This window comes from Homo sapiens, chromosome 8 (genome assembly GCF_000001405.40).
Source record: "Homo sapiens chromosome 8, GRCh38.p14 Primary Assembly".
Taxonomy (NCBI): domain Eukaryota; kingdom Metazoa; phylum Chordata; class Mammalia; order Primates; family Hominidae; genus Homo; species Homo sapiens.
This window is the reverse complement of record NC_000008.11, coordinates 22,088,317-22,113,088: the sequence shown is the minus strand read 5'-3', so window position 1 is coordinate 22,113,088 and position 24,772 is coordinate 22,088,317. Positions and strand designations below refer to the sequence as shown.

The 24,772-nt window shown below is 57.3% G+C and overlaps 2 protein-coding genes across 14 annotated transcripts, besides 13 other annotated features; one reads left to right on the top strand and one right to left on the bottom strand.

Moving 5' to 3' along the window:
• Positions 644–1,143: an enhancer, noted in NCBI's record as "H3K4me1 hESC enhancer chr8:21969459-21969958 (GRCh37/hg19 assembly coordinates)". NCBI's record gives its function as "activates a minimal SCP1, AML or CMV promoter by ChIP-STARR-seq in naive H9 embryonic stem cells {active_cell/tissue: H9 hESC(naive)}" and the evidence as "EXISTENCE:reporter gene assay evidence [ECO:0000049][PMID:30033119]".
• Positions 644–1,200: a biological region, named in NCBI's record as "H3K4me1 hESC enhancer GRCh37_chr8:21969459-21969958".
• Positions 835–1,200: a silencer, noted in NCBI's record as "fragment chr8:21969402-21969767 (GRCh37/hg19 assembly coordinates)". NCBI's record gives its function as "represses an EF-1alpha promoter that drives an FKBP-Casp9 reporter gene in an ReSE screen in HepG2 liver carcinoma cells {active_cell/tissue: HepG2}" and the evidence as "EXISTENCE:reporter gene assay evidence [ECO:0000049][PMID:32094911]".
• On the top strand, positions 2,607–6,211 carry NUDT18 (nudix hydrolase 18). Of its 2 annotated transcripts, XM_011544650.2 has the most exons (4): positions 2,607–2,940; positions 3,146–3,950; positions 4,743–4,956; positions 5,194–6,211. In XM_011544650.2, the coding sequence occupies exons 1-4, from the start codon at positions 2,936–2,938 to the stop codon at positions 5,787–5,789; spliced, it is 1,620 nt and encodes a 539-aa protein (XP_011542952.1). In that variant the 5' UTR covers positions 2,607–2,935; the 3' UTR covers positions 5,790–6,211. The 2 variants fall into 2 exon arrangements, with proteins under 2 accessions (XP_011542952.1, NP_079091.3); NM_024815.4 differs by lacking the exon at positions 2,607–2,940 and having other exon boundaries at positions 3,670–3,950.
• Positions 3,317–4,096: a silencer, noted in NCBI's record as "silent region_18979". NCBI's record gives its function as "represses an Ori minimal core promoter by ATAC-STARR-seq in GM12878 lymphoblastoid cells {active_cell/tissue: GM12878}" and the evidence as "EXISTENCE:reporter gene assay evidence [ECO:0000049][PMID:35858748]".
• Positions 4,556–5,329: an enhancer, noted in NCBI's record as "H3K4me1 hESC enhancer chr8:21965271-21966044 (GRCh37/hg19 assembly coordinates)". NCBI's record gives its function as "activates a minimal SCP1, AML or CMV promoter by ChIP-STARR-seq in naive H9 embryonic stem cells {active_cell/tissue: H9 hESC(naive)}" and the evidence as "EXISTENCE:reporter gene assay evidence [ECO:0000049][PMID:30033119]".
• Positions 5,726–5,870: an enhancer, noted in NCBI's record as "145 bp 8:21964802 sequence used in MPRA reporter constructs". NCBI's record gives its function as "activates a minimal TATA-containing promoter with rs1552286 allelic activity by MPRAs in C283T melanocytes and UACC903 melanoma cells {active_cell/tissue: C283T | UACC903}" and the evidence as "EXISTENCE:reporter gene assay evidence [ECO:0000049][PMID:36423637]".
• Position 5,798: a transcriptional cis regulatory region, noted in NCBI's record as "rs1552286 or 8:21964802 MPRA-significant variant associated with a GWAS melanoma risk locus at 8p21.3". NCBI's record gives its function as "allelic transcriptional activity by MPRAs in C283T melanocytes and UACC903 melanoma cells {active_cell/tissue: C283T | UACC903}" and the evidence as "EXISTENCE:reporter gene assay evidence [ECO:0000049][PMID:36423637]".
• FHIP2B (FHF complex subunit HOOK interacting protein 2B) lies at positions 8,178–23,939 on the bottom strand. Of its 12 annotated transcripts, NR_148728.2 has the most exons (20): positions 23,791–23,939; positions 23,235–23,328; positions 18,571–18,649; positions 18,236–18,479; positions 16,580–16,752; positions 15,469–15,573; positions 15,250–15,372; positions 14,779–15,021; positions 14,470–14,666; positions 14,033–14,141; positions 13,729–13,805; positions 13,196–13,385; positions 12,350–12,495; positions 12,117–12,245; positions 11,559–11,649; positions 11,238–11,381; positions 10,774–10,914; positions 10,461–10,561; positions 9,904–10,296; positions 8,709–9,145 (listed from the first exon to the last, which is right to left on the bottom strand). NR_148728.2 is itself a non-coding variant. In NM_001354251.2 (18 exons), exons 4-18 carry the CDS (start codon positions 16,700–16,702, stop codon positions 10,158–10,160), a joined length of 2,058 nt encoding a protein of 685 aa, NP_001341180.1. In that variant the 5' UTR covers positions 16,703–16,752; positions 18,571–18,649; positions 23,235–23,328; positions 23,791–23,939; the 3' UTR covers positions 8,178–10,157. The 12 variants fall into 12 exon arrangements, 5 of the variants coding, with proteins under 5 accessions (NP_001341180.1, XP_006716444.1, NP_073586.5 ...); NM_001354251.2 differs by lacking the exon at positions 18,236–18,479 and having other exon boundaries at positions 8,178–10,296; XR_007060751.1 differs by lacking the exons at positions 18,236–18,479; positions 23,235–23,328 and having other exon boundaries at positions 10,774–10,944.
• Positions 8,645–8,792: a silencer, noted in NCBI's record as "fragment chr8:21961808-21961955 (GRCh37/hg19 assembly coordinates)". NCBI's record gives its function as "represses an EF-1alpha promoter that drives an FKBP-Casp9 reporter gene in an ReSE screen in phorbol 12-myristate 13-acetate-treated (for megakaryocytic differentiation) K562 erythroleukemia cells {active_cell/tissue: K562(+PMA)}" and the evidence as "EXISTENCE:reporter gene assay evidence [ECO:0000049][PMID:32094911]".
• Positions 18,574–19,074: an enhancer, noted in NCBI's record as "H3K4me1 hESC enhancer chr8:21951526-21952026 (GRCh37/hg19 assembly coordinates)". NCBI's record gives its function as "activates a minimal SCP1, AML or CMV promoter by ChIP-STARR-seq in naive H9 embryonic stem cells {active_cell/tissue: H9 hESC(naive)}" and the evidence as "EXISTENCE:reporter gene assay evidence [ECO:0000049][PMID:30033119]".
• Positions 23,060–23,199: an enhancer, noted in NCBI's record as "active region_27076". NCBI's record gives its function as "activates an Ori minimal core promoter by ATAC-STARR-seq in GM12878 lymphoblastoid cells {active_cell/tissue: GM12878}" and the evidence as "EXISTENCE:reporter gene assay evidence [ECO:0000049][PMID:35858748]".
• Positions 23,420–23,519: a silencer, noted in NCBI's record as "silent region_18978". NCBI's record gives its function as "represses an Ori minimal core promoter by ATAC-STARR-seq in GM12878 lymphoblastoid cells {active_cell/tissue: GM12878}" and the evidence as "EXISTENCE:reporter gene assay evidence [ECO:0000049][PMID:35858748]".
• Positions 23,710–23,769: a silencer, noted in NCBI's record as "silent region_18977". NCBI's record gives its function as "represses an Ori minimal core promoter by ATAC-STARR-seq in GM12878 lymphoblastoid cells {active_cell/tissue: GM12878}" and the evidence as "EXISTENCE:reporter gene assay evidence [ECO:0000049][PMID:35858748]".
• Positions 23,830–24,049: a silencer, noted in NCBI's record as "silent region_18976". NCBI's record gives its function as "represses an Ori minimal core promoter by ATAC-STARR-seq in GM12878 lymphoblastoid cells {active_cell/tissue: GM12878}" and the evidence as "EXISTENCE:reporter gene assay evidence [ECO:0000049][PMID:35858748]".

The following is a 24,772-nucleotide window of genomic DNA, read 5'->3' as shown; positions in this document are numbered from 1 at the left end:
AATGTGCCCACCTTGGCCTTCCAAAGTTCTGGGATTACAAGCGTGATCCACCATGCCCCACTTCATCTTCTGTAGCCATGTCCTGATGTCACCTCAGAACCCCAAATCTGGAGTATTTCCTGTGGGAAGATGGTTCTCTGAATTTTACCCATTGGGGTGGGAACAGTGCACCACTAAACCTCTGTCTTCCCCTCAAGACCTTATCTCCTCTTAACCGCCTCTGGCCTTCCAGGTGGGTCACAATGCCCTTGAGGACATATTTGGTCTCTTTGTAAACAGAAGTGAATCAATGTTCATTTGTTCCAGCACTGTTCCTGAGAATGCAGCCGGACCAGGTAGGGACTGACTCGGAGACTCGTCTTGGGGCACTCTGTGGCACTGTTCCTCAGAGACCCTTGGGCCTCTGCTGCTCACAGGGTCTACCAGCTGTGCTCTGCCTGCAGCCCCTCTGTCGCTCAGAAATCCCAGACATACAACCAGCCAAGCTGGAAGTGAGCGCAGGGTTGCATACCCAATGCCTTCTTTCCTTTTCTCTGATAAAATTCTCAGACTTTTTATTTTCCCTTTTTACCCAGGAGCATAGATTCGAGTTGCCCTGAATATACATGCTCAGGCTTTTTATTTTGAAATAATTTTAGATTTACAGCTGAGTCACAAAGATAGCACAGGAAGTTCCCAATTATCCTTCACCCAGCCTCCCCTATTGTGAACATCTTACATAACCATGGTGCCTTGATCAAAACTACGACATTAATATTGATACCACACTACGAACGAAGCAACAGGCCTCACCAGGATTTCACCAGTTTTTTCATGAATGCCCTTTTTCTGTTCCAGGATCCAACCATGCCTGCATTTGACAGATGGCCTGGAGGGTAGATGTGGCGTCCCCAGGGTCCCTCAGAGAGCTAGCCTGTGGCCAGCCCTCCCTCTCCCGCTGTAGCTTGGGTTCCTGCCCTCCTCACCTTCCTACCTTGTCAAGACACAGGCCTTGTTGCTCTGTCCATGGCTCTAGCATCACAGATGCCCTGATACAACCTTGCCCTGCCTGTCCCTATCCCCATCCCCATCCCCATGGTCGCCTACCCAGGCCTTCCTGCTCCTGTGCTCCCCCCATCCCACCCCCACCGCACATGCGCACATATGCCCTGAAACGGCTGGCTCTGGCTTGGCTCCCAAGGGTGCTGGGAGCATTAAGCTACTCCCATTCACCATACTGTGCGGCCCGCCACACTGGCCAGGGTTCTTCCCTCTCTGTGACTGGAGGACACACAGTTGACTTGATGGGGACACTGGTGGTTCCTATCTAGCCTCCCGTCCTCCCTCAGCTGCCTCCCTTGTCTCAGGGCCTCTCCAGCCTCTGTCTCACTGCTGTTCTCTCCCAAGGCCTTGGGAACTCCTGCCTCTTTGTTGTCTCAGCACTCCCTTCACAGTTTACAAGAGGCTTTGGGGGAGGGCTTTACCCCCCGGGATAATGGGAGGCGTGGAGCCACGGTTTGCTGCGGTCTTTGCTCTCTGGGCAGTGAGGCCTTCTGTTGTTTACCTTAGGCTGCCTCTGAAGCTCCCAGATCCCTGCCTAGACATGATCTCACTCTCTCAAATCATCCCTGCGAGGCAGACAGGAGTCTGGGTCCAACTTCCCCCACTTCACAGGTGGGAAAACTGAGGGATTCACACATGTGTGTGCCGCAAGACACACACACACACACACACACACACACACACACACACACACACAGAGCAAATATGTTGACAAGTTGCTCTGCAGTCCTGGGGTCCTGTGCCTGCAGTTATTTGGAAGGTGAGAGGTCCATGATAGGGCCTGGCCCAGCGGCGTTCAGCAAGTGCCTCAAAATTCATGGGCCTTCTAGTGATATCCCACAGCCTAACACAGGGCCCTGCCTCCAGGGAGCCTGTGGTCAGTATCAGCAGGTGAGAGGAGCCTAAAGAGATGCATCCTGCGTTGCTGAAGTTCCTGAGTCCAGTTCTAAGGCAGCTCTACAGGCACATTTCGCCAGGCATGGTGGCTCATGCCTGCAACCACAGCACTTTGGAAGGCCAAGGTGGGAGGATCACTGAGGCCAGGAGTTCAAGACCAGCCTGGGCAATACAGCAAGACCCTCGTTTCTACAAAGAATTAAAAATTAAAAATTTAGCCAGGCGTGGTGGTGCACACCTGCAGTCCCAGCTACTCAGGAGTCTGAGGCAGGAGGATGACTCGAATCCAAGAGATCAAGTCTGCAGTAGGAGCTGTGATCACGCCACTGCACCTCCAATCTGAGCAACACAGTGAAACCCTGACTCTAGGGGATAACAAAAGTCACATTTCATGAGGGCAGGCCTTGCGTGTGGTAGCAAGAGCTATGGTGGAGAGGGACCACCCCTGAGGGTTGGTGGGCTGCCTGGGGACGGTGCCCAGTGCTGGACAATCCACACAGCTCCTCTCCAATTGTTGTGGCTTCCCAACACCCCTGTAAAAGAAGAATTGCTATGATCCTGCTCTACAAATAAGAAAATTGAGGCCCACAGCTCACCCAGGAGCACAGAGCAAGCCAGTCAGCAGTGGCTGGCCATCTGGCTGCAGGTCCTGAGCTTTGTCCACACCACCAAGCCACAGTCTCCCTAGCAGGGAGGCGCACAAAACTATCAGAGGCAGAGGAAAGGGGTGGCCTCTGCCAGGTGAGGAGCCAGACGGCCTGCTTCGCAGATCCCTTCCAGCTGGCTTTGCCTTCCAGTGCTGAGGTGGGGTGAAGGAGGAAAGGCCGAGCTGGGAGAGGAGCAGGCGCTCGCCACAACCACCCCCACCCTGCTCTCCACGCGCCAGGTCCTGCACGCTGGGTGGGAGGGTGACGACAAGGATGGAGGAGCAGGGCCCCACCCCCGCCCTCCCAGGGCGCACCATCTGCAGCAGAGAGGGCCTTGAGCTGCGTGGGAAATGCGGTAGGCAGAGGGACACTGATGAGGGTGGGCCGGCTGACGGCAGCCTTCTCTCAGCCCCGGACCCCTCCCGCCATCCCCAGCCCTGCCCCCTCCCTCCTTCCAGCGCCTGTCACTCTTCCTGCCCAAACCAAGCATTTAGCACTTAGCCTCGAACCCTCAGCTGACTCCTCATCTAGGACTCCGTCCATCTCTCCAACTATTGCAGAATCTCCTTCAAGGCAGGGGTTTATGTCCCCCACCCCACGGGCCATGTGACATTTATAACTCTTTGGTGGAATGAGAAGAAAGGTATTTGGGATATGATCAACTCCGGCAATGCCATTGTGTGTTTACGGCAACAGCGGGACAGTGGTTCCAGGGGGCGGCCCCGGGCCTCCGTGACGTCACCGGATTGTCGCGTCACCGTCGCCTACCCCGGCGGCGCAACGCGCCCTGCAGGAAAGATGACGTCACCGTCGGAGCTCCTGCAGACCAGTGCGCGCTCGGGGAGTTGGCGAGCGGGTGGCGGCTGGGAGACGTCCCGAGCGCACGGGACTGACAGGCGGCAGAAGCCGGGCGGGGTCCGCTGGGCTCCGGACCCGTGCCCCCCCAGTTCCAGGGCGGCCCCGGGCGGCCCCGCCCCCTCGGTGAATGCCGCGGGCCGGCCAATCCGGGCAGGCCGCGGCGCCGCGCAGCCTATCAGCGGCCAGAGCTCGCGTGCGCTTCCGCGTTCGCGTGCGCTTCCGCGTTCTCGTGAGCTCCCGGCCCGCTGCCGCAGGGACTGGGAGCGGGCTCCGCAGCGCACTCTAGCCCGCGGCTCGGCTCAGTCGGTCTGCGAGGATCCGGCCCGCCGCCCCCCGGGGGACCCGATGGCCTCGGAGGGCCTGGCGGGGGCGCTGGCTTCCGTGCTGGCTGGCCAGGGGTCCAGCGTGCACAGCTGCGACTCGGCGCCGGCCGGGGAGCCGCCGGCGCCCGTGCGGCTGCGGAAGAACGTGTGCTACGTGGTGCTGGCCGTGTTCCTCAGCGAGCAGGTGAGCGGCCGCCCCCGGGCCCGCCGGGCCTCGGGAGCGCGCAGCCAGCCCAGGTGGGGACAGAAGACCCAACGGCCACAGCCAGCGCTGCCGCGTGCGTGGCGCTTCCCAGTTTTGCAAAGCACTCCCACTCCCACTCGCATCTGTGTCCTGCGTTCGTCCCGATATGCAGAAGAGGAAACTGAGGCCCGGGGCCTGTTTGTCTCATCCGACTAGGCCTCATTCCTTCCCTTCCCCAGAGTCTAGCGGAGTGCCCAGGGCCCCTCAGATAGCAGTGGCTCAATCCCGGCTTACCTTCAGGCCTTTGGTGCTGATGCCTGTAGTGGGCGATGTAATGACAACTAGACGGGGCCAGGGCCATAGGGCGGGGTTGTACAGAGCGGAGGTGGGGGTCGTGTTTCAAGCCAGACCCCAGTGTGAGGACCCATCACAGTTTGTAAACCACGCCGTTGGAGGCGAGAGATACACAGTGGCAGGTACAGACGCAAATCAATCCAAGACAGACAGACACATGGTGACCCTCACTCTGGGGCCTCATCTCCAGCCCCTGAAGCGGCTTCCAGGAATCTCAGCCCTTCCTGAAATGGAAGTCTTCCTAAATCCAGAGAGAGACGAATTGCAGAGAGGAGAGGGCTGCAGCCCCCAGCGACACGAGGGCAGGTCTCCTGGAGCGCTAGCTGGGTTGAGAGTGTCCACCCAGAGGGGAGTCTTGGGCGACTGTGTTTGAGATGCCCCCTGGTCCCGGGGCGAGGGAAGGCTGTGGCAGGAAGTGAGGATCCTCTCTCCTCTCAGGATGAGGTGCTACTGATCCAGGAGGCCAAGAGGGAGTGCCGGGGGTCGTGGTACCTGCCTGCGGGGAGAATGGAGCCAGGGGAGACCATCGTGGAGGCGCTGCAGCGGGAGGTGAAGGAGGAGGCGGGGCTGCACTGTGAGCCCGAGACACTGCTGTCCGTGGAGGAGCGGGGCCCCTCCTGGGTCCGCTTCGTGTTCCTCGCTCGCCCCACAGGTATGGCCCACCTGGAGGCAGTGTGAACAGGGCCAGTTGACACCTTTCCCCCAGCTCCTCGGTGAGGTGAGCCCCTCTACAGCCAGTCCTGTTATGGCTGGCACAGCCTGGCATGGGCAGATTCCAGCCTTTGGGCTGGGGGCCTCTCTCCTGGGTCAGGGATGTCTGTTGACTCTGCCAGAGCTGCACTTCTCTCCACACAGACCCTCCCTGCCCCATCCCCCACATCTCCCCCAGGTGGAATTCTCAAGACTTCCAAGGAGGCCGATGCGGAGTCCCTGCAGGCTGCCTGGTACCCACGGACCTCCCTGCCCACTCCGCTGCGAGCCCATGACATCCTGCACCTGGTTGAACTAGCCGCCCAGTATCGCCAGCAAGCCAGGCACCCTCTCATTCTGCCCCAAGAGCTACCCTGTGATCTGGTCTGCCAGCGGCTCGTGGCTACCTTTACCAGCGCCCAGACAGTGTGGGTGTTAGTGGGCACAGTGGGGATGCCTCACTTGCCTGTCACTGCCTGTGGCCTCGACCCTATGGAGCAGAGGGGTGGCATGAAGATGGCCGTCCTGCGGCTGCTGCAGGAGTGTCTGACCCTGCACCACTTGGTGGTGGAGATCAAGGGGTTGCTTGGACTGCAGCACCTGGGCCGAGATCACAGTGATGGCATCTGTTTGAATGTGCTGGTGACCGTGGCTTTTCGGAGCCCAGGGATCCAGGATGAACCCCCAAAAGTTCGGGGTGAGAACTTCTCTTGGTGGAAGGTGATGGAGGAAGACCTGCAAAGCCAGCTCCTCCAGCGGCTTCAGGGATCCTCTGTTGTCCCAGTGAACAGATAGAGAGGTGGGGGAGGTGACAGGGAGCTAGGCAGCCGTGCTCCCTCCAGTGCGGACTTGTCTCCCTCTGAGGGAGGCAAGAGGCTGGCGATCAGGGATCTTGTTGCATTGGGAGCAGGGGCGGCTCTCCTGGTCCCCAGGAGAGATGCTTTGAGGAGCATTCCTCTAGATTGCACAAGGGACAGTGCCTTTAACCAAGCGAGGAGTCCAAAGCTCAGGACCTGACTACCCTGAGGGCACGCTGACGCCTCTTCCCAGGGGGATGGGGAGCTTTCTGCACCCCCAGTGGCATCTCCTCATCACGTTCTGTGCCGTCCTTGGGAAAGGCCTGCATTCTGATCCTTCCAGGCCCTTCGAGCATGGAGGGGCACTGGGGAAGGTCCCCCGAGGGAGGAGCACGTTGCTGAGTAAAGAGGTGTTACTCACCTTGCCTCCCTGCCTACACGTCTCTGTGGGGAGAAAGTGATGGGGACTACTGTCCAGGAGCTGCTGCTCCCCTCGTGTTACCCACAGGCACCCATGCCTTTCCCAGTGCACTGACAGTGCGGGCCAGTCTGCTGTCCAGCACGGCCCCTGGGGCTCCCTCCAGTTGGCCTGCTGGCCCGGGATGTGACTCTGAGGGGACCCATCCCTAATGAAACACAGCTCTGAGCCCTCCAAGGGTTGGGCAGTGGGCGGCCCCAGAGGAACTTCAAGTGGGACAGGAGCTGCAGGTGCTGCCTCTGCTCTCTCCTTGAGCCTCCCTGGCGCAGACCACTCCCCCTGGCTCTCCTGCCTCTGCCTTTTCACAACTTCAGCCCATGCCAGACCAAACCTTTTCTTCATTTCCCCTCAGCCTCGCTGAATCATGGTAGGATTTTTTTTTTTTTTTTTTTTTTTTTTTGCTAAGTGGCCGGGCACAGTGGCTCACACCTGTAATCCCAACACTTTGGTAGGCTGACACAGGTGGATCACTTGAGGTCAGGGAGTTCGAGACCAGCCTGGCCAACATGGCAAAACCCCATCTCTACTAAAAATACAAAAAACTAGCCGGGCATGTTGGCAGATGCCTGTAATCTCAGATACTTAGGAGGCTGAGGCAGGAGAATCGCTTGAACCCCGGAGGCAAAGGTTGCAGTGAGCCGAGCTCCAGCCTGGGTGATAGACTTCGTCTGAAAAAAAAAAAAAAAAAAAAAGAACTTTGGCCAGGCACGGTGGCTCACACCTTTAACCCCAGTGCTTTGGGAGGCTGAGGCAGGAGGATCGCTTGAAGGCCAGAGTTTGAAGCCAGCCTGGGCAACATAGTGAGACCCTGTGTCTACAGGAAAAAAAAAAGGCCAGGCAAGGTGGTGCACACCTGTAAATCCCAGCTATTCAGGAGGCTGAGGCAGGAGGATGGCTTGAGCCCGGGAGGTTGAGGCTGCAGTGAGCCATGCTCAGGCCACTGCACTCCAGTCTGGGTGAGACAGCAAGACCCTCTCTCAAAAGAAAAAAGAAAAGAAAGAGGAAAAAAAGAACTTTACTGAAATTTAAGCAAAATCAAAGGAAATGAACAAATAAAATATATCAAGTGTTCTACGGTAGAGATTTCTGATTCTGAGCAAGGAAACACTAGCACAGGCTCCCCTTCTGAGGGCCAAGATGACCTCCAAGGCCCCTTTCCCAGCCCCCTCCCTGCCTCTCTTGGCTGCCCTCCTTTCTGGGCCCTGGAGGGTGGTAGGAATCCTTGTACCCTCTGAGGACAAATACCTCACAAATGATGGAACCAAACCCCTTTGTTTCAGTTCACTTCTCTCAGTGTCTAAGGGACCCACTGGCCCATATCCAGTCAGCCGGGCAATGACATTTGGCTATTTGCCCCCATTATTTAGCCTAGTAGTTTCCAACCCTGGGCACACGTTAGGGTCACCTGGGTTTTTTTTTTTTTCCCTCAAACAGGGTCTTGCTCTGTCACCCAGGCTGGAGTGGAGTGGTGTGATCCTGGCTCACTGCAGCCTTGACCTCCCAGGCTCAAGTGACAAGTGATTCTCCTGCCTCAGCCTCCCAAGTAGCTGGAACCACAGGCGCATTTTTAAGCTTTTAGTAGAGATGGGGTTCTCACTATGTTGCCAAGGCTGGTCTTGAACTTCTGTCCTCAAGTGATCCTCCCGCCTCAGCCTCCCAAGGTACTAGGATTATAGGCGTGAGCCACCATGCACAACCACCTGGAGAGCTTGAACTCTGGGTGTACCCCCAGCAACAATAATTTAACTGGTGATGGGGCACTGGGCATTGGGATTTTAAAAAGCCACCCAGTGATCAACACGAGTTGAGAGCCAACATCTGGCTCCTTTTCCTCCACGTTCTCAGCCTGCCCTCCCGCAGTCTCTTGGGGACCCCCCTCAGAGGATCCCCCACCCCTCCACACACATCTGAGGACAAAGGGTTTATTTATGTGTTAACTTTTCTTTTTCCCTGAGAACACACCTGTGAAATTTTTTTTTTTTTTTTTTAGACAGGGTCTTACTCTATTGCCCAGGCTGGAGTGCAGTGGTGCAATCGGCTCACTGCAGCCTTGAACTTAAAGACAAGGTTTTAAATATCAGGCCTACTTTATGACTAAAACAGGCATACAACACGCAGCATAAACACACCCAAATGAGACTTGCACACAGATGCTCCCACGTGGTCCATTCCCTCATGGTGTCTCCGGGGTGGGCAGACTCTCCGCTGCAGGTCAGCCCAGCAGAAGTGGCACTGCTCCGCCAAGAGTCTGGCTCCTGGCAGGCGCTGAGGATCAGCAGATCTGCACTGCCAGAGCCTGTCTGTTTACCGCCCACCCCACCTCCCTGCTGCAGCGCTAGAAAAAGAATTTGTCTTCCTTGGGGAGGAAGATGGGCCCGAATTAGCAGTGGAGTCCTGGGCAGAAGGTGGGGAAACTTGGCCAAGAACAGAGCCACGGTGTCCACGCAATCACACCATTTATTGCTGTGCTGTCCGGGGAAGACACCGTGCAAATGCCAAAGTGCACTGAGGAGAGGGGAGGGTCTGTGACTCCCAAACCCTCGAATATTTTATGAATCTAAGAGTCCAGACGCAGTTCATCCACGGAGATCTGCGCCCCGTCCACACCAACACCCACGTTTGTGCACCCACATGTGCACGGTGCTCTTCAGAGCGGCGAGGTCCTCCCCCGCGGGGAGGAATGTGGGAGAGGCAGAGGTCACTGAGTTTCCTCCTGTTTCGTGTCACCTCTTGGCAACCTGTGCCTGGCTTCTAGAAGCGGCATGGGCAAGAAAAGGAAGCAAAAGAGGCTCTGGCCTGCTCCTCCTTGCCCAGGAGCAAAGCCAGCAACTGTGTAGTCCCGCTGTGAGGTAATGCCTGGCGCCGCCCGTGTATTCCTGCAGGTCAAGACAGATTCGGGCCGGGTGGGGTGGCAGCCCAGCCACGGAGGGCATGCAGGGAGAACACCACCAGGACTGGCTGCCTGGGCCGCAGCCACTTCCCGCCAGGCTCAGGGGCCTGGAGTCAGGGGGCGTCCTTCCCTTATCTGTCCCCTGAGCTCCCTGGCTCCCCAGAAGGGTCTTCTATCAAGAACACTGGGCCCTGGGCAGAAGGGAGGGCAAGGCCCGGCCTCCCCTGGTCTCTGACCTCTGCCCAGGTGCTGTGGACCTGCTGAGACGGGTTCAGAAGGCGCCAGAGAGGAACCAGCTGGACCTGAGCCTGGCTCCTGGGCCCGCTCCCCTCCTGGCTGCAGCTGCACCAAGGTTCTCATTAGCAGGGGCCCCCGCCTGGGTGCGGAACATGCTTTGGGCATTTGCCATGAGGCGGCTGGGAGTTTTGCAACAGTTTCCAGGGGAGCAGAGCAGGAAGAGGGGCTTCCCCGACGATCCCATTCACTGCTCCTTCTCCATGGGCCAAGCCATGTAGGCAGGGGACAAAATGTCAGGTCTCAGCAGCTCCCATGGTACCTAATGTGACACAGACAAGGCTCCAGGCCCCATCTCACTGGCCTGGGCTCCTGACCAGTCTCGGAGCCATCAGCTCACTCCCCATCTTGCCCCTGGAGTTGAGTCACAGGCTTGGCCCTGGCCACAAATGGCCAGTACAGAAGGGGCCAGGCACACAGCACATGAGGGTCTGGGGTCTGGGTGCTCACCTGGCTGTCACCCAAGCTCCTCCAAGAAGGCCCCAAGGACCTTGCTGCCTGGAAAGCCATCTGTTTGGCTCCTTGGCACCTGGCATGCCCATTCCCTGAAACCCAGTCTGGTGTGGTCAACATGCCGCAGTCTCCTTGAGTGAGCCCGGGAGCAGAAGCCCCATCCCAGGAGGGGAGTGTGGCGGCAGTGCCAGGCAGGAGGCAGCTCTGGGGCAGAGGTGTGGACAGGAGTCTCCCACCGCCCTGGTGCTGGCTCAGACCTGCCCTTCCGGGGCTGGGGAGACGTTCTGGCGAGGATCATGTGGGGGAAACTTGACGAAGGCAATGGCAGCCAGCTCCTTGCAGAACTCCTCCAGCACCACCACGCCCTGGAGGAGGGTCTGGTGGTCCAGCCTGAGGGGAGATGGCACAGGGGGCATGGCTGGGTGGGGGCAGGACTGTGCCCAGCATGACAGCCCAGCATCCACGAGGCTTGACCCTGTGGCCAGCCACCTCTCCTCCAGAGGCGCTTTCCACTCTCCCACCCCAAGGCTTCACCTGGCACCCTTGGTACTCACTGCTCCCCAGGAGCCTGGCCCGTCAACTGCTTGCGCACCAGGAGCAGCTTGCCTGGGAACTGGGGTACCCTCTGGATTCTCTGCATCAAGTCCCCGATCACCTACAGCGGGAATCACAGGGGACTCAGATGGGGCCAGCAACACCAGTGAGTCCCCTGGCCCTGCCACACCATGCAGAGCATGGGAGACTGTGCTTTCCCTGGCACTGGCAAGGGTGCCCACCCCTCCAGCCCCCAACCACCTGCCCCGTTCCCTTTCCCTGATGTCCCCTCCACCTCACTAGGCACACTCCCTTGGGCCGAGGCGTCCTCACCCTCACCAACACGGAGAATAGGCTCCTGCAGCCGGGGGCCAGGCTGATGTACGGATCCAGCAGGTACTCATGAATATGGGGGTGGGGGAAGAGGGCAAGCCGGGACAGGACCGAGGTCACCTGCAGGTTCAGGCTGTATGGCTGTAGGAACATGGTGGACAGAGCCGAGGGCTGGCAGGGCTGGTGAGTATTTTTGCACTCCCCCAGCAAGGTGCCTGGCCACTGTGAACGTGTGTGGGGGTGGGAGGCTCACGTGATGTGTGTGTGTCATGGATTCCATGGGGCTGAGGGCCAGAACGTGTTAGGACGTGTGGAGCAGGGGTGAGACGGGGCTTCCCACCTGGGGAAAGGACAGGGGTGGCACCAAAGAACCGAAGCAGAGGCAACCCTGTGGCCAACCTCTGCTCTTGAAGGACCCCAGAGGCACCAGCCTGGAGTTCTCCTGGCCCAGGCCCACTAGCTACCTGATCCAGAATCCGGGACATGCGGTCAAACAGCACTCGGAGGAAGTGGCCCTCGAAGAAAGGTCGCTCGGGCTCATGGGGGTCCAAAGGTGTGGGGGTCAGAGGCCAGCCCCAGGAGGCGACGCGGGAGCTGCACTCCTGGAACTGAGACAGGCGGGAAAGTAGAGGCAGTGGGCCTGGGGACTGGGAACCAGCAGACAGGGCCCCACGCAGGAGGGATGGGCTGGGGTCCTTGGGCAGATGAGAGAGGCGGAACCCAGAGCTTATGACCCAGCTGTTCTGAAGGACAGGAAGTGGGAGCTGGTAGCAGGAGCCACTCACCAGGCCATAAGCATCGTGGACGTATGTGTCATAGCCTGTCTCCTCCAGGAAGGCAGAGGTCTTGGCTTCCTCGGGGACCAGGCACAGGAAACTGAGAGATAGAAGCCGGTGTGGAGGCGCTCCCGGCTCACCCTGCTCTCCCCTGCTTGTGGGACCCCATCTCCCTCCCTGACTGGACCCCAGGGCTGTGGCCAAAGAGTAAAACTCAGGGCAGGCACGGTGGCTCATGTCTGTAATCCCAGCACTTTGGGAGGCTGAGGTGGGCGGATCACCTGAGGTCAGGAGTTCGAGACCTGCCTGGCCAACATGGGGAAACCCAGTCTCTACTAAAACTATAAAAATTAGCTGGGTGTGGTGGTGCATGTCTGTAATCCCAGGTACTCGGGAGGCTGAGGCACAGGAATCGCTTGGATCCGGAACCCGGGAGGTGGAGGTTGCAGTGAGCCGAGATTGTACCACTGCACTCCATCCTGGGTGACGGAGCGAGACTCTATCTCAAAAAATAAAATAAAATAAAATAAAACTCAAGTGGTTCAGACTGCCTAACTTGCTCCCCACCTGTTGACGATCTCGGTCACTGCTGTTTTGCCATCGTAACTGGTAGCAGGAGCTAGGCGAGGCTTTGCGGGAGTTTGAAAGCCGGAATCCAGGAAGCTGTCGGTGAAGTAGGGGTCTTCCTCCAGGTCTCTGTGGCCAGGGCAGAGCAGTACGGCACCAGTGAATGAATGGACAGAGTGAGCGTGCGAGTGCTAAGGGCTGGGCTGAGTCCAAAGGGCGCCGGTTTCACTTACAGGGTGTCCTCATAGCTCTCAGGCTCTGGTGAGCCCCAGGCCACGTAAGGGCGGCCCTCAAGGTTGCGCAGGACCAGGCTGTGGATGATCCCCTCGTGGGGCTTCTGCAGCAGCTCCTCAAACAGCCGGAGTGTGGTGATGCTGATCTGGAGCAGGAAGGGGGTCGGCAGGATAGCCCCTTCCCCACCCAGCTCCCAGGGGTGCCTTGGCATGGCTAACCCAGATAAGAAAAGACCTCTGAGGCAGAGTCACCTCCCTTGGCTGGATGCTAAGGTGGCAGGTTTTGGGGGTAGTTGGGGGGTGTGGGCCTAGGAATCCAGAAGTCTGGGTGGTCCCTGGTATGTGACTAATTTGATGTGCAATTTCAGGCAAGCCAATTCGCTTCTCCGTGCCTTACTTTCCATGTCTGAGAAATGGGAGTATCAACCTCGCCTACCTCACGAAGTAGTACGTGTTAGCCTTCCAGCGAGCCAAGTGTGCAAAATATAAAATACTGTAAAAAAATAAGCTGGGAACAGTGGCTCATGCCTGCAGTCCCAGCACTTTAGGAGGCTGAGGTGAGAGGATCGCTTGAGGCCAGGAGTTGGAGACTGCAGTGAGTTATGATCACACCTCTGCACTCCAGGGCCTGGGTGATAGAGCAATACCCTGTCTCTTTAAAAAAAAAAAAAAAAAGTATATGATCATAGAAAATTAGTGTGTGATAAAAGTGGCTCGGCAGTGTTTTGCAGTTCAGTGTCTCAAAGGTGGAGTCAACTGGGAACACTAATGAAATGGGAAGAGTGTTCAGGAAATCCCTCTGGCAGGGGTGGTGAGAGGAACAGAGATGGAGGTCCCCCACTGTACCTCATCAGAGAGGTGGTCACAATGCCCGATGAGATGAGCATACAGGGTGTGGGGGTTGTCCCCGGGGGCTTCAGGCTGCCGGTCTGTGCCCAGGAGGAAAGCCACGGCCTCCCGCAGCAGCGCAGGGGAGCGAAGCTGGCGCAGCATGGCTGTGAGGAGGGCGGTGGAGGTCAAGATGCTCTGCTCGGACCTACGGGAAGAGGGCACCTTAGCCAGGCCCGGTGTGTGCAGACAGCACATGAGTGCGGGTGGCCGAACCCTTCCTGCTTGCCTCGCATGTTTGGCTGGTATGTCTGTGGTCACTTGCCCATCCCTGCTGAGGTCCTGCAGGGAAGGGTAGGAGGCCTTCGTTTAGCCCACGTAGCTCAGAGCCACGTGCACATCATGGGGCAGGCCTGGCAAACATCACCCAATGGGGTCCACAAATGGGATTCTGGTCAAGAAGGTGTCTGGCCTTAGGGACAGGACGAGGCTGGGTGGGGTAGGTGGTTTACTGTAGACCACAGTCATGCCTGAGGGAACTAGACACTTACACGTGCAGGAGCTGGGGCTGCAGGGTCTCCACGAAGAAGTTCTCAGCCACAGCCTTCGCCAAGGCGTCCGCAACCACCTGGGTGCCAGAGAGCGCCAATGTGTTTTGCCCTCATTACAATTCCAGCTGAGAAATAACCGTGTTCTTGCGCGGCGCCTGATGCCACAGGAGAGGGTCCCGGCCCGCCTGGGGCCCCGCTTAGCTCCTGGACCCCATGTTTCCATGTCCCTGCTCCACTTGGTCCTCGAGATGGAGATGGTACAGGGAACAGCATGAGAGCCCGGCCTCCGCCCGCCCCTGCTCACCGTGTGTGCCTCTGTGATGAGGTGGTCGCAGTAATCAAACCAGCCCAAGAAGGCAGCCAAGGCCTCCTTGCCAGGGAAGGAAGCCTCATCAGACGGGGCACTGGGTAACCTGAAGGAAGAGGGGAGTGAAGTCTCAGAGAGTGGAGAAGGAGCTTCAAGGTCTTCCTCAATGTGTCCTGAAACTGGGCCCTTCCCCTCTCCTGTGGAACCTCTGTGGCTGGGGATCAGTTATCTTGGGGGTTTTATGGACAGAGGCAGCAAAACCAGTACTTCCCTGGAGGGCAAGAAGTCCCCTGGGGATCAGCTGCAGCCTTGGGGAGAGGGTGGCCAGCAGGGGTCCCTAGCAACGTGGAACCCCAGGGGAGCTGGCCACCAAAGACAGGCAGGGCTGCCAGCAACTGAAGATGCTGGCCGGCCTTCCCGGGCTGGGCACCCACCTCCAGCTGATGCCCTCTAAGGTGGCAATGTCTGCGGGGTCCAGGAAGACAGGCATGGACCGGTACAACTGGCAAAGGTGCCGGACGATCGCAGGGCAGCAGGCGCTGCTCTGTACCAGGTAGGTGGCAGCTGCTGGGGAGGCCATGCTCACCAGGAGCAGCAGGTTCTCCTGGGCCTTCAAGGCCACCCGACTCTTCTAGGGGATGAGGATACAACTTCAGGGACATGCATGTGAGCCCCCAAATCACCCCCCAGCCGTCAACCCACCCTTCCCCCACCCCCAACCTCTCCATCTCTGCTGCCAGCACCTTGCTCTGGCACAGCCCAAGCAGGGAGGTAATCAGGTTGCTCTCTGTGGTCCCACCGTCCAGCTCCTCGGTCTCAGCAGGCATGTGGCTGTTCAAGGCCTGGGCCCCACAGGACTCCCCGTCCAGCTGGGGCCTGGCAGGAGCACCATCGTGGGAGCAGTCCTTGTCCCCGTGGCTGGTTGTGTCCTTAGGCAGGGCAGTGGGTTCTCCGCATGCTTTCTTCCTACCTACAATCTTTTTACCCTGAAAAGAGGGTGAGATGAGGCCAGACCTGGTGGGGACCACTTCCCAGGGTCCCCCACTGGGACCGCAGGGTGGGCTGCCAGCAGGGCGTCGGCCTGGAGCTGGAGGGGAAGCTGCCTGCGTGCCTCCCGGGTACCTGATCTCTGCTTCTGCCTCCTCAGGAGGGCAGAGGGGGCTTGCCCTGGGGTTCTGGGCCCTCCCCCTCCTGTTCCCGATCAGAGTGCTCACTTCCAGGATGTAGGCGAGCAGCTCTGGGTCCTGCTGGATCTTGGAGCAGAGGACGGTGGTGAACTGCACCTCCTCCTTTTCTGTAACGGATCCGGAAGCAGTCCCACCAAGTCGGAGGAGTTTCTGGAAGAGCACCAGGACAGAAACAGAGGGGAGAGGGGTGGCAGGGGAGAGAGGGGGCCTCACACCCAGACACCCCTTGGCTTCCGGGCCCCTCACCTGCACAGGCCTGTGGACGCTGAGGTAATGCAGCAGGGGGTGCTGCACCTGCGCCAGAACCTTGCTGAAGAACTGGAACACCTGCTGCCGCATGCCTGGGGGGTACTGAGGCCAGGGACAGAGCGCCTGTCAGAGCCGTGTCCCCTGCCTGCCGCATGCCTGGCGGGTACTGAGGCCAGGGACAGAGCGCCTGTCAGAGCCGTGTCCCCTGCCTGCCGCATGCCTGGGGGGTACTGAGGCCAGGGACAGAGCGCCTGTCAGAGCCGTGTCCCCTGCCTGCCGCATGCCTGGGGGGTACTGAGGCCAGGGACAGAGCGCCTGTCAGAGCTGTGTCCCCCACCTGGAACACTGCACCCCCAGAGAGCCCCAGGCTCAACTCCTCCCTCAGTTCCGGCTCAGAGGGCCCGTTCTCACAGGCCTGCTTCCCTTGCCACGTTGTTCGAAACTAGCCTTCCTGGCACTCACAACCCCTTTTCCTGCATCACTGTGCTCCATGACTGGGTCATTATTGACCCATCACAGGATGGTCCTGCCTCTCCCACTAGGATTCTTGTCGAGTTTTCTTTCCTTTTTTTAAGAGACAGTGTCTTGCTCTGCCTCCTAGGCAGGAGTGCGGTCTCACGATAACAGTTCACTGCAGCCTCCATCTCCTGGGCTCAAGCAATCCACCCACCTCGGCCTCCCACGTAGCTGGGGCTACAGGCACGCATCACCATGCCTGGCTCTTGTCAGTATGAATCCCTGCTGTGTCCCCAGCATCTAGAGCAGAGCCTGGCACATGGCAGGCCCATCTTTGTGGAGTGAACTGGGAACAGGAGCGCTGGGATGGTGGAGTGTTCTAAGTGAGACAGCCACAGTGCCCGTCCTGTTTGCTCCTCTCGCCCGAACTGCCACTTTCAGTGTCAGGACTGGGAAGAGCATAGGCAGAAAGGCCTGGAATCCAGGGAGCCCCAGGCTGCCCACTGCCCACCGCCCACCTCAGCCTGGCCCAGCACTCAGAGGGTCTCCCACCTCGGCCTGGCCCAGCGCACAGAGGCCTCCCACCTCGGCCTGGCCAAGCGCGCAGAGGCCTCCCACCTCGGCCTGGCCCAGCGCGCAGAGGGCCTCCCACCTCGGCCTTGCCCAGCGTGCAGAGAGTCTCCAGGATCTTGTGCTGCAGCAGGTACTCCAGGCAGGGCCCTGCCTCACCCGCGGCCGCCTGCTGCTGCTCTTCATACACCAGGATATCCAGCATCTGCTTCAGCCGCCAGGGAATGTCTGTCTTCTTGGCGGGGGTGCTTTCATCTAATGATGTTTGGGAAACAAGGGTGAGTAGGGTAAAGAGGGGCACCCCGGCTTGAAAACTTCACCCTCTCCTGCCAAAGCCCAGAAAGGGGAGGTCCTGTCTGGGAGAGGTGGGGGAAGACAGCTGCTGGCAACTGGGAAATGGAAGTTTACAGTGAATGCTTCAATATTTAAGAAGACAAAAGTCCTTCCAGGCTCAGGACACAGTCCTCTGAGAACGCATGCATGCCCAGCCCTTTATCAGGGGGCAGCAGCATCGGTTTCCTTCAAACCCTAGGATGGGTACAGAGACAGGGACACATGGTCCTGGGCCCACAGAAGGCTGCTGTCAGCTCTGGGCCTGAGTGGACACTGTGGGCTCAGGGCTCTTGTCACATAACTTAGAAGCTGTAATTCCAGCAGCTGCCTGAGAGAGAACCTCCTGGGGCCTCCCCCACTGACACTCAGAGAAGGCAAGCCTCTGTTTTTCACAAAGCAGAAAAAAACATCTGTGCCACCACCTTCAGGTCTGACCCAGTCCTGCTCCCTGTACCAACGCCCTGACGGGGAAGCTACTTAGTGGGGGCTTTTGCAGTCAGAGTCTCAGTGTGTGTTTTAAAGAAAGTTCTGGTGCTTCAGGGCTAGACTTGGAGCACCCCCTAGCTTTCCTTTAAGGAACAGGAGCTTGAGTAGGGCGGCCTGCCCCACGCACTTCCAACCCTTCTGGTCTAGGGACCATTCTGGAAATGAAAGGGCTGGATGGGGGAAGCCCCAGGTGAATTTCAGCCAGTTCTGATCTGATCTTACTGAGCTGGTGGACTGAGGCTCTCCTTCAAGAGATCTTTAACCTGAAGAGATAGGTTCAGAACCAGGGGTGCGCTTTTCCCCCCCAGGGAACATGAGGCAATGTCTGGAGACCTTCCTGGTTGTCCCAATTCGGGGGTGGGGTGTGCTACTGGCACCTAGTGGGTAGAGGCCAGAATTACTGCTGCACATCCCACACCGCCCAGGACAGCCCCGCGCAGGGAAGGCTCCAGGTCCAATGCCAACTGTGCCAAGATTGAGAAACCTGGTCTAGCAGAACCCTCAGAGGGTCCCACAGATTTCTGAATTTCCTGGGCTGGCCCGGGCTGGAAAGAAAGCCTGTAGGAAAGGTGTGGGCTGGGATCAAGCCCCAGTATGAACTCCAGGAAGGGAAAAGTGAGGGATGCAGGATATGGTTACCTGGCAACCAGTCCGTATCCACCCATGGCAGCCTCATGACTGCAGAGCAGCCACTCAGATGCCATCCCCTCAGTGAGCGGTCCTGATGGGACCAGGTGCCAAGGCTTTGGCTCTTTGGGGTGTCAGCTTGGAGAGAGGGACCCAGGCATGTTACCCACCTTGGTTTTCGTTCTCCTCCTACCCCAGATCTCTACAAGGACATTGCCCCTAAGCTGGCTCAGGGGAAAGGGGAATTTATTAAATTCTTTTCTTTTGATCATTAAATCCTAGGCACAAGCACCTGGGGCCTGAAGGTCTGGAGCTGGAAGCTGGGGGAAGTGCAGCCACCTCTTCCTTGCAGAGTCAGGCCAGTGAGACCCCCAACCAGGCTACTCCTTCCTCACACAGCCTCTTTCCAAAAGGTCAGAGTGGGACCGGCAGCTAAATCATCAGGAGTGGAGTGGCCCAGGGCTCTGGGTCTTCTGTCTGTCTGGTTCTCTGTCTCCGTGAACTCGGCTCCAATTCTGAACGACTGGGCAGGTTACCTTTCCCAGGACACCTGAATGGTGACACTCTGCACACTCCTTCCTCCCCGCTCCCTCCAGGGTCCCTGGGCTGGGGAGGGCCAGGCCGCACCTGTGCTCTCGATGTAGTAGTGCGTGATGCCCTTCCAGTGCTCCACGAAGGCCTGCAGCAGGTCAATGCTGGGCTCGCGCTGCGGAGGGCAGACACACAACCTCAGTGGGGGCCACAAAGGCCAGGGAGCCCCTGCCCGCATGGGAACAGATATTCTGAGTGTCAGGTTCATGCTAGGCCTCCTCATGAGGAGGCACCCTGCTCCCTGGCTTTCAAAGGGAGGAATAACACATTTCCTCCAGGACACACTGTCATCTTGCCAAGGATCTCCTGACAGGCACTTCTCCCTAGATACCCCTCCCTCCTGGAAATGCTGTTTTCTTGCTGTATGTCACAATCCTGTCCTGTCTCTGTCCTGGAGGTGCTAAGAATGTTGCTGGGGGAAACAGACACAGATTATTTCAACACAGCATGGTTACGCTACAGTAGAGGCACATAGAGGAACACGGGAGCGCAGTCCCCCAAAGAAAAGCAAAATGATACAGATCGAAAATGTGGCAAAGGTCAGGTGCAGTGGCTCACGCCTGTAAGCCCAACAGTTTGTGAGGCAAAGGTGGGCAGACGGCTCGAGTCCAGGAGTTTAAACCAGCCTCGGCAACATGATGAAGCTCTGTCTCTATAAACAATTTAAAAACTAGCAGGACGTGGTGGTGTCTGCCTATAGTCCCAGCTACTTGGGAGGCTGGGGTGCGAGGATCACCTGAGCCCAGGGAGGTCAAGGCTTCAGTGAATTGTGATCGCAGCGCTGCACTCCAGCCTAGGTGACAAGGTGAGACCCTATCTCAAAAAAAAAAAAAAAAAAAAAAAAAAGACAAAGCTTTTCCATTCCTCTCAATCTGAGAGTCTATGAAAATCTGTTCAAGACCACCACAGGCTCTGTTCAGCCGGAAGGGTAGGTAACATTAGCATGATATTAACAATGTGCCTTCCTTATAACATGCTTACATGCTTTCATCTTGTGTCCAAAGCCTGAGCCTGCACAACCCCAACTCCTCAGCCAGTGCTGTTCTCGTTTCCTCCTCTACCGGCTCCTTCTATCAAGCCCTGGAAAATTCTGGTTCTGCTCTGGGCAAGCCCCTAACCTCCCCCTTTTCCATGAGTGCTCTCTCCATCTCTACACCATGGCTGATACTGGCCTTGCACTGAGAACAATCACTTTCCCTGAAAACTTCTCAAAAACAACAACAACAACAACAACAACACCATTCCTTCGCTTTTCTTGCAGAGTAAATGTTTTCAGGAAAAAAAGAATTCTAATCATCCCTCCCCACAGCTGTGCATTTCTGCCTCTAGGTCTTTGCTGGGGCCACTCCTCTGCCCAAGGTGCTCTGTATCCCACTAACTGTCTGGATCGTGAAAGTCCCCAGTGAGGTTCAGTCCCCAGCAGCTCCACCAAGCCCTCTCCAGTGTCCCTGCCTGCCCACACCTCTCTGACCTCACACTTTACTGCACCACAGAACTGAGTAGCCACTCATGAAATCATTTGTTCATTCTAAGTGCCCACTATGTACAAGACACTATGCTAGATGCCACAAGCAACATGAGGATGACTAACACCTAGTCCTCAAGAAATGTGTCATGGAGAAGACGATATAAAACCGCATTGAATAACGAAGCTACAAGGAAGTAGTGTGAGGCCGCAGGAGAGGTGGAAAGTAGTGACCTCTCAGAAAAACAGGGGTAACTTCTAACAGGCTGGAACAGGGAAGGCTTTACCAAGATCACATCTCAACTAAAACTTGAAGAACCAGGTCAATATCAACAAGAGAAGGAAGACAGTCCCTGCAGAAGGAACTCTGCAAAGTGTGCCTGGGGAAGGGGTGGGCTGGCGAGACTTCGGAGTCTCTAATGCCAAGCCAAGAAGTCTCAGTCATTTTTTGCAGGCAGCAGGGAGCAGGTCAATGACAACTTTTTTTTTTTCTTCTGAGACAGAGTCTCAAAAAAAAAAAAAAAGAGTCTCACCGTCACTGAGGCTAGAGTGCAGTGGCACCATCTCAGCTCACTGTAACCTCCGCTTCCTGGGTTCAAGTGATTCTCCTGCCTCCCAAGTTGCTGGGATTACAGACATGTGCCACCACGCCTGGCTGATTTTTGTATTTTTAGTAGAGACGGGGTTTCACCATGTTGGCCAGGCTGGTCTCAAACTCCTGACCTCAAGTGGTCCGCCCACCTGGGCCTCCCAAAGTGCTGGGATTACAGGCATGAGCCACCACACCCGGCCATTGGCACCTTCTGAGCAGTGTTTTCGGAAGACTCATCTGGCAGTTGGCCTTGGGAGAGGAGGTAAAGGCAGGAAGAATATGCTTAGAAGGCCACTGCAACATGGGGAGGGAGGGATGACATTCACAGAACTGGAAACTCCCCTCAGTCCGCAGGGCATCTTGTCTTCTTGCAAAGCTAGTTGGTAGGGGCTGCAACCCTTCTCAAAAGTAGCACCACCCACAGTTATTCCAAATATTCCATCCCTGTGCAGTGACCGCATCTCACTACATTCTATGTGACAGTGCCTGCTGTGCTGAGCAATCATCTCTTCTGCTAGATGATGAGCTCCCTGAGAGCCAGGGTTCTGTGTTTTACAGCTAGCCTGCCCTCAATGGGCTCAGCACATAGTGAATACCCATGAATATTTACCAGATATCTCAGGAAACTCCTGGAGAGATTCTTTCCCTAGTTCCTTGTTTTAGAAAGTCCTCTGGCCCTTCACCAGCCCTACAATTATCTCATAATTTCTGTGATGGGGTCTCCTTTAGCCTCAAAATTGGCTTATAGTCTTTGAAAACCTTGAGCTGGGCTTTAACCAAAAAGAATACTCCAGTACGGCAGGAGACACGGGAGAGGCAGGTTAACCAGCACAGGCCATTAGAGAGCTGGTGACACAGGTGTGTGATCTTTACCTAACTCCACCACCAGCTATGATAACTCCAAACCAAAGGCACTAGACCCAACAATTTCTCTTTAACGATATTATTAGTGGCCAGACATGGTGGTGGCTCACACCTGTAATCCTAGCACTTTGGGAGGCCAAGGCAGGTGGATCACTTAAGGTCAGGAGTTCGAGACCAGCCTGGCCAACATGGCGAAACCTCATCTCTACTAAAATTACAAATATTAGCTGGGCGTGGTGGCGCAGCCCTGTAGTCCCAGCTACTCAGGAGGCTGAGGCAGGAGAACCACTTGAGGTGGAGGTTGCAGTCAGCTGAGATCGCCCCACTGCACTCCAGCCTGGGTGACAGTGGAAGACTCCATCTTAAAAAAAAAAAAAAAAAAAAAAAAAAAAAGCTGTAATGATTCCTAATCTGTTAGATCAGAAGAGGGCGGGAAGGAGCAGTCTTCCTACTCAATGAGTAATCAGTTGACTTACTAGGATCACACTTGGTGACCAAGGCTTGGGAAAGACCTAGACTGGCGACCTGAGGGTAGAGCACAAAAGAGGAATTCCCGTCTCCCTGTAGGGCCAACCACACCGCCCGGACATAGCCTATATGGTCAATACTAAAGGGCCCGGAAGATCACCTGCCTAAAAAGATCTCCCTCCACTGCCAAAATCTCCTGCCACTGATGCCTGTACTTCTGTCATTGGAAGCCTTAGAATTTGACTCCTAGCCGGGTGCGGTGGCTCATGCCTGTAATCCCACCACTTTGGGAGGCTAAGGATCGCTTGAGGCCAGGAGCTCAAGACCAGCCTGGGCAACATGTTGAAACCCTGTCTCTACAAAAAATACAAAAATTAGCCTGGCGTGGTGCCGCATGCCTGTAGTCCCAGCTACTCAGGAGGCTGAGGTGGGAGGATTGCTTGAGCCCAGGAGGTGGAGGCTGCAATGAGCGGAGATCGCACCACTGTAGTCTAGCCTGGGCTCAGAAATAAATAAATAAATAATAAAAAGAAAAGAAAAAGAAAGAAATTCACTCCTCAGGACTGAGGAACTGTCTGGCCTGTCTCACCTCCTGTAAATGGAGTGTTCCCCAGAGGTATGAATTGGTTTATCAGATCACTTTTGAAGATCACAGCTGTTTTGACTGGGGATGGGGGAAGGGGAAGAAAAATCATTTTGGAACCCTCTCTACCTGGATGCCCCAAGGCCCTGGCCCTGGGTCAACAGCAGGGCTGGGAAGGTGGAGGAAGTCATAGTTTCTGACTTTCTTCCCAACTTTGCCTAAGGCAAACTTCTTTCAACAGGAGCTCCCATGAGGGTTGGGGAGGAGGTGGTGGGGAGGAAGGAGGGTGAAACCCAAGACTTTCTCTCCTGAGAAAATCTGATACTCAACTCATCAATTGGGGGAAGATTTATACTAGGAGGCAGAAGTATTGCTGACTTTACAGACAGCTTCTTGGCAGAGTTACTTTCAACAGCGGGCACCCCCCCCACCCTACCGGGAATACCCCCACCCTTCCTACACAGCGCTACATCTTGCTGAACGAACCCTAGTAGTAGGCTGCCTGCCAGCCTGCAGCCCCAACAAAAAATGGCAAAAACACAAACTGACGGCACGTGAAACATCAATGGACTCTCCTCCCCGCACAGGGCCACCCAGGCCCCACCACGGGCGGCATGTCCCTAACTCAATTTGGCTTGTGAGGGGTCACAGCCACGCTGGAAACATCTGCACCCAATAGAAGGCGATTTCCCCGGCTGGGGGCCCACCAGCCTGCCCCGGGTCTTTACCCTTCGTGGGGACTTGGACCGGCAGGGCCTGCACTTCCCACGTCCCGGGGTGACGGGAAGGGCGTCCTGCACCCCAACAAGGTCCTGGAGTTGTCTGGGAGATCAGACCGAGGGGAAGGGACGGCGATTTTTTCAAGCCCAGGCGAGGCGGTGGGGTGGAGCGGAGGAAGGAGGCAGGCCCACCGGGACTGGGGGGAGGCGGCCTAGGGCCCCGGGGGGCAGGAAACACCCCAAGCGGTGACAGGGAGCGTCCCGGCGGAGGCGAGTTCGGGAATTGGGAGAGACTCCGGGGCCAGGACGCACAGACAGGAAGCGACGCGGGAGCAGGCCGGGGAGGTGGGGCGGTCGGGAGGAGTCTGGGAGCGGGACTGGGAAGAGCGAGGGGAAGCGGGGCGCGGCCGGGGAGGCAGAGGAAGGGGCGCCGCGGCCCGGGGGTCCCTGCCCGAGGGGGCCCGCGCCCGCCCGCCCTCCTGCGGGCCGCGCCCGGCTCCGCGCCCGCCCAGCCCGGCCTAGGCCCGCGACTCCCGGCGGCCCGGCCCGGCCCTGCCGGCCTCACCGCCCCCACGGCTTCCTGCAGCAGCGCCCCGAGCCGGCTCAGCATGATGGCGCCCGGCCCCCGGCTCCCGGGCGAAAGCGGCGGCGGCAGCGCTCTAGGCGGAGGAGGCAGCCCCGTGGCCCCGGCGGCCCCGGCGCGACGAGGGGGGCGGGGCCCGGCCGCTCCGCCCCTTCCCGGCCCGGCTGCGTGGCGCTGGCTAACCCCGGCTGGGGGCGCCCAGTCGGGCTGGGAACCGCCAGCGGTGGGCCCTGAGAGTTGGCTGGGAGGTGTTTTTTTTTTTTTTTTTTTTCTTTCCTTTCTTCCGAGACAGGGTCTCGCTTGGTCGCCCAGGCTGGAGTGTAGTGGCGCGATCTCTGCTCATTGCAGCCTCCAACTCCTGGACTCATGCGATCCTCCAACCCCGGCCTCCAGAGTAGCTGGGTCCACAGGCGCGCGCCACCACGCCTGGCCAATTGTTTTTTTTTTTTGTTTTTTTACTGGGAGGGGAGGTCTCACTGTGCTGCCTAGGATGATCTCCAGCTCCTGGCCTCAAGCGACCCTCCCGCCAGGGCCTCCTGAGTAGCTGGGATTAAGGCGGGAGCTAAGGGAGGTGTTTTCGAAGAGAAATTACAATTCCTCCTGAATTGAAGTCTCAGTCAGCCCCAGGCACATGGGCTGATGAGCTCCTGAAATGTGCTGGTCCCAACCAAGATGTGCCGTGCCAAGCACACCCCGATTTGGAAGATACAGTAAGAAAGGAAAGTGTGAAACTGCAACAACCATGGCTTATATTGATTACATATTGAAATGACTATTAGGTGTGTTGGGTTAAATAACGTATATTGTTAAAATTAACTTCACGTGTTGCTTTTTACTTTTTTGACAGGGCTATCAGAAAATGTTTATGGGCTGTGGGCGGTGGCTCACACCTGTAATCCCAGCACTTTGGGAGGCCAAGGCGGTTTGATCACTTGAGGCCAGGAGTTTGAGACCAGCCTGGCCA

What these genes read in the sequence shown, in the direction of transcription:
- FHIP2B (XM_006716381.4), bottom strand. Translation starts at nt 23,835, where the DNA reads ATGCTGAGCCGGCTCGGGGCGCTGCTGCAGGAAGCCGTGGGGGCG. An exon ending in TTAGAGGGCATCAGCTGGAG is followed by an intron (nt 14,142 to 14,469) that starts GTGGGTGCCCAG and finishes CTCTTCCTTCAG; the next exon opens with GTTACCCAGTGCCCCGTCTG. An exon ending in TATTCTCCGTGTTGGTGAGG is followed by an intron (nt 10,562 to 10,773) that starts GTGAGGACGCCT and finishes TTCCCGCTGTAG; the next exon opens with GTGATCGGGGACTTGATGCA.
- NUDT18 (XM_011544650.2), top strand. An exon ending in CCGTGTTCCTCAGCGAGCAG is followed by an intron (nt 3,951 to 4,742) that starts GTGAGCGGCCGC and finishes CTCTCCTCTCAG; the next exon opens with GATGAGGTGCTACTGATCCA. An exon ending in GTTCCTCGCTCGCCCCACAG is followed by an intron (nt 4,957 to 5,193) that starts GTATGGCCCACC and finishes CATCTCCCCCAG; the next exon opens with GTGGAATTCTCAAGACTTCC.